This window comes from Homo sapiens, chromosome 6 (assembly GCF_000001405.40).
Source record: "Homo sapiens chromosome 6, GRCh38.p14 Primary Assembly".
Classification (NCBI taxonomy): domain Eukaryota; kingdom Metazoa; phylum Chordata; class Mammalia; order Primates; family Hominidae; genus Homo; species Homo sapiens.
The window spans coordinates 131,469,912-131,476,082 of NC_000006.12; positions in this window are offsets into that span (position 1 = coordinate 131,469,912).

A 6,171-nucleotide genomic window follows, 5' to 3' on the forward strand; every position below is an offset into this window, starting at 1 on the left:
TTCAAATCCTCTAGCAGTAGTCATCATTATCATAATCAGGGATCATTGTTTTCTCAGTCAACTTCTTTTGCTTTTTTGAGTGTTTTGATTCCAGTTAAAGACGTACATACATATTTCTGTCCAACTGGGTGGCTTTCCTTTAAGCTAAATATGATGATAGAACACCAGAACTCTAAAACTCAGAGTGATCTCATGGACACTCAACCCATCACCAGCTTTTCTCAGTATCTACTGTTGTCAGATAGAAACAACGCTCAGAAAGAATGTCTTGTGAGGTTCCAGTGAAATGCACTGAGGAAAATACAACGTTTGATGCATGGTGAAGGCAAAATAGTGTTACAAAATAGCCATCCCCCAAATTCAGCTTTCAATCTCACTCAATTGTGTCTTATAATGTGGGGCTGGAGATGGATTCGTGGGATCTGCCTCTGATTTATATACAGTTGCAAGATTGCTCTACCTTTTACATTTTATTGGTTGTTTCCGTCTCCACATTGATCTCCTCTTTCCCCTCTAAGTTCTGCACTATCTTTGCTTTGTCTTACATGCCTTGTGCCGCTCTTAAAAATAACGTACTCTAGTTAAGGGGGCCCAAGAGGAAAAAGCTATACCTGTGATTTAGGGTGATGATTTTAATTCTCAAAAGCCCTCTAAATATAGAGCCTACTTGCTTGAAAAAATGTGGCAGATTTCTTGCTTTCAAGAATCTGAAGGGAGTGCTGAACAGAGGGGGAGAATGAAATGTGAAATGAGTTCTCAAGTCCTGTACCTTGGCAATCTGAGCTATGTCTGGGTGGGAAACAATTCAGGAGGAACAGCATGGGCGGGTGGATGTGTTGTCTCCTCCTGCTATTGCAGCTAAGTGACTGGAGTGTCAAAGCTTCGCAGCGTTTAAAAACAAAAGGTTGCTGGTAGGAGGGCCTCTAGCTATTTTTGATTTATTACCTAATCTTTAGACACTAGAAATTAACAACAACAATGAGAAGAAATGAAAAGGGGCAGTGACTAGCAGAAGCTCTACAATGATGATTCATTCATGTGAGTAAGTGGCATCATTTTCAGCATTAAAATAAGCTAGGTATGGCCATTTGAGAAACATCAAGGTCCTCATTATTCTTTATTTCCTAGAATTTCATCATTGTACATTTTAAACACCTGGTCATGAATATTAACTTCAAAAGACAGTTGGTCTGGTTTTTTATAACTTAACCATTGAAAAACCTCTTGTAATTGGCACTTTATGTATTTCAGGAATCATATATAAAAGTGGGGGAACATTTTGCTTTGGAATTTGCAGAACTTACAGCTACTCGGTGACTCCAGTCAGATGGAGTCCACAGAGATGTCTTTCTTCCTGTTGCCTTTTTACCTGTTTGCTGAATGGTCTAGATAGGTCATCAGTTTACAAACCGGTCCATGGAATTTTAGTAAGGAGCCCTTAGGAAAACAACTTTCATTGAAAAATTAAGGTTGGAAAAGGAAGATCACTGATCTAGTGTGTCTAAAACATGTATATACCATTTTAGGTATATATACCTAAATTTACTACGTTTACCTATTTGGTAAATTGATTTTAATATTCTGCATTGGCTAGTATTGCTATCGTATTATGCTGCATCAGCTATTGTGGCTGTTGTCAGTTATCACTGCGTTTAGTAGTCTTATTTCTGACTTCATTAGAAATAGATTTAGTATGTTTTAATTTAAATTGTTTCCTATTTCTGAAGAGTGGATTAGATAACTGTTTTCAGTTCTTCCCCCATCCCTGTTATAGAATTATACCTCCCCACTGTGTCATGGTGGGTAGAGTGTACTTCCCTGCCCCAGTGACATTGAGCTTAGCCACGTGACCTTATTTGTCCACTGGAAGATCAATGTACTTGACTCAAGTAAAGTCTTTCAATGTGTTCCTTTGAACTGTAATGAAAAGAGCACACCTCAGGTAGCTGGTACTCCTTTCTAAAGGTCTGAGAATGAAAATATGTGTAGCAGAAATAAACTGGACTAGAGCCTGGAGTTCAGCTTGGCATAGCAAAGCTCAGCCTAGATTGGCCAAATCCCTGCAATGTGCAGGCCTGTGAGGATAAAAATAAATGTTTATTGCTATAAGCCACTGAAATCTTGGGTTTATTATGTAGCAAAAATGAACTAATTCAGACATTGATACTAGAAGTAAGATGGTACCTTTATAAAAACCTAAAATATACAGTATGTCTTTGGAACTAGGAGGCAGGTGGTATAAAATCTAGCATAGGCAGCTGGAAAACTTACAATCTGTGGTACGTACTGTCGAAACATTTGGATAAACTATCATCTGCTATACCTTGGGAGACAGAAAATATACCTAATCAACTTGTAAAATTAGAAAGACATGAAAGCAGAACATTGAGATCATGAACAGGTTGTTGCAAGAAAGAAATGAGCTCAGTAAAGGACTGGCCAATTTGCAAGCAGAATTGAAGGGGAACAACAAGAGCCCAGACAATACAGGGCTGGATAATAAAACTGTTTCTGACTGAATCATAGCTATGGCCATAAAGACCACATTAAAGATGGGATCAGTGGAATCCTCTTTTAAGACCCCCAAAATGAAAGTAGTACTGGGACATCCTTACCCATAGGTAAATTTTTCTAAAATTCAACGTATAATTGAATTCGTTCATGGTTGGTTCTTCTAGTGTCTTCTTATCTAAGAATTTTTTGCTTATCCCAGAGTTAAAAAAAAAATTCTTCTCTTTTCTTCTAGAAACTTGATAGTTTTTACATTTAGGTCAATGATTTTTTAAATTAATTTTTGTCTATGGTATAAGGAAAGATTTAAATTCTTTTTTTTTTCCTTTGTGGATATGCAGTTACTTCAGCATCATTTATTGAAAAGATTGTTCTTTCTCATATTGAATGTTATTAGCCTCTTCGTTAAACATCAGGTAACTAGGCTCCCCATTCTGATCCATTAATCTATGAATTTATCCTTATGTGAAATAGAATATCTGCTGTTTTAATTAGCATAGCTTTTTGATAAGCCTTAGAATCTTTTAATGTTTCTCCTCTAACTTTATCTTTCTTCTTAAGATTATTAAGATTGACTATTTCAGCTCCTTTTTTCCATATACATGTTAAAATCATTTTATCAATATCTACAAAAAATGTCTGCTGATATTTTGTTTAGGGTTAGAATCAACAATTTAAAAGTATTGAATCTTTGATCCATGAGCATGCTATGTCTTTCCATTTATTTAGGTCTTCTTTAATTTTTTCACAGCAGTGGTTTTCTTGTAGTTTTCTGTTGTAGTTTTAGGCATAGAAGGCTTTATTTTATTTTATTGAATTTACTCCTAAGTACTTGCTATTTTTAAGTTGTAGATGGATTATTTTTAAGTTTAATTACACGATGGTTTGTTGCATGTATATGGAAATGCCATTGACTTAAAAATATTGACCTCATAAAGCAACTGCAACAGAAGCAAACATTGACAAATGGGAACTAATTAAACTAAAGAGCTTCTGCACAGCAAAGAAGCTATCATCAGAGTGAACAACCTACAGAATGGGAAAAAGTTTTTGCAATCTACCCATCTGACAAAGGTCTAATATCCAAAGTCTACAAGGAATTTAAACAAATTTACAAGAAAAAACAAACAACTCCATTAAAAAGTGGGCAAAGGACATGTACAGACACTTCTCAAAAGAAGACATTCATGTAGCCAAAAAACATATGAAAAAATAAACCTCAACATCACTGATCATTAGAGAAATGCAAATCAAAACCACAATGAGATACCATCTCACACTAGTTAGAATGGCAGTTATTAAAAAGTCAAGAAACTACAAATGCTGGCGAGGTTGTGGAAAAAAAGGAATGCTTCTACACTGTTGGTGGGAGTATAAATTAGTTCAATCATTGTGAAAGACAGTGTGGCAATTCCTCAAAGATCTAGAGGCAGAAATGCCATTTGACCCAGCAATCCCATTACTGGGTATATACCCAAAATAATATAAGTCATTCTATTATAAAGATACACGCACATGTATGTTCATTGCAGCACTATTTACAATAGCAAAAACATAGAATCAACCCAAATGCCCATCAATAATAGACTGGATTTAAAAAATATGGTATATATACACCATGGAATACTATGCAGCCTTAAAAAGGAATGAGATCATGTCCTTTGCAGGGACATGATGGAGCAGGAAGCCATTATCCTCAGCAAACTAACACAAGAACAAAAAACCAAACATGACATGTTTTCACTTACAAGTGTGAGCTGAATGATGAGAACACATGGACACATGGAGGAGAACAACAGACACTGGGGCCTGTCAGGGGGCACTGGGAGGGAGAACATCAGGAAAAATAGCTAATAGATGCTGGGCTTAATACCCAGGTGAGGGGTTGATCTGTGCAGCAAACCACCATGGCACACATTTACCTATGTAACAAACCTGCACATCCTACACATGTACCCCAGAACTTAAGAGTTGATGAAAAAAAAGTATTGACCTTATATTTGATGGCTTTGCTAAATTAACTTATTAGTTATAGTAGTATGCAGATTCTTTTGACTTTTCATATCATCTGCACTTAATGAGAGTTCAACTTATACCTTTCTAATCGTTGACTTAAGGAACTGTTTCGAAATTTGAAAATCTGAAGAGACATTACAACTAAATACAATCTGTGATTCTGTACTATATTCTGTATTGGAGGAAATTTCTATAAAGGACAATATTAGGACAACTGATAATACTGGAATTTGAACTATATGTTACATACAAGTATTGTATCAATGTTGTTAATTGTACTGAGCAGAGGTAGGAGTATTCTTCTTGGAAAATATATACTAACACATCAAGGGTAAAAGGGCATGCTATATGAAGCCTACTCTCAAATGATTTAGAAGAATCAGAGAGAAAGAAACAATAAATATGCCAAAGTATAAAACATTAGTGATTCTGGGTAAAGGAGTTCTTTGTATATTCTTGTGACTTTTCTGTAAATTTAAAATTATCTGAAAAGAAAAAGGGTGTCTCTTGTAAAGAGAATAGAGTTGGTTCTGGGGTTTTAAAATTTATTTAATTTAAATAATTAATTTTTTTGAGACAGGGTCTCACTTTATCACTCAGGCTGGAGTGCAGTGGTGTGAACACAGCACACTGCAGCCTCGACATCCCAAGCTCAAGTGAGCCTCCCATCTCACACCCACAAGTAGCTGGGACTACAGGTGTGCCCCACAATGCCCAGCTAATTTTTGTATTTTTTTGTAGTAACAGGGTTTTGCCATATTGCCCAGACTGATCTCACACTTTTGACCTCAGGCAATCTGCCTGCCTTGGCCTCCCAAAGTACAGGGATTACAGGCTTGAGCCACTGCATCTGGCCAGTTCCGTTTTGTTTTTAAATCCCATTTGACAACCAAGATTTTGGTGCATTTATATTTAATGTAGTTACTAATATGCTGGGTATAGGCCTACCATCATTTGCTGCTTGTTTTTTATTTATTTCATCTATTCTTCATTCTGTTGTTCTCTTTTTCTTCTCTTCTTTTGGATTAACCAGTTGTTTTTTAATACTTTTTAAAAATCTTCTATATTTGCTTTTCAGATATACCTTTTTGTATCTTCTCAGTAGTTATTCTAAAGTTGTTCTGTTCAGTATGGTAGCAATTAGCTATATACTACTATTTAAGTTTAAATTAGTTAAAACTAAAATTCCAATTTCTTAGTTTCACTGGTCACATTTCAAGTGCACAATAGTCACATGTGGCTAGTCACTGCTATGTTGGACAGTGAAGATGACAGAACATTTCTATAATTTCAGAAAATTCTATTGAACAGAACTGCTCTACAAATTAAAATATGTACCCTTAATTTATTACTATCTACCTTGACTTCATATTCTAATACTTTACAAATAATGTAAAATACAACAGTATATTTCCATTTACCTATCCTCTAGTAATTTGTGCTACCATTGTCATATATTTTACTTGTACAAATGTACTAAATCCCACAATATATTGCTTATGTTTACTTTATTTTTATTTTTATTTTATTTTTTTGAGATGGAGTCTCGCTCTGTCGCCCAGGCTGGAATGCAGTGGCGCGGTCTCGGCTCACTGCAAGCTCCGCCTCCCGGGTTCACGCCATTCTCCTGCCTCAGCGTCCCGA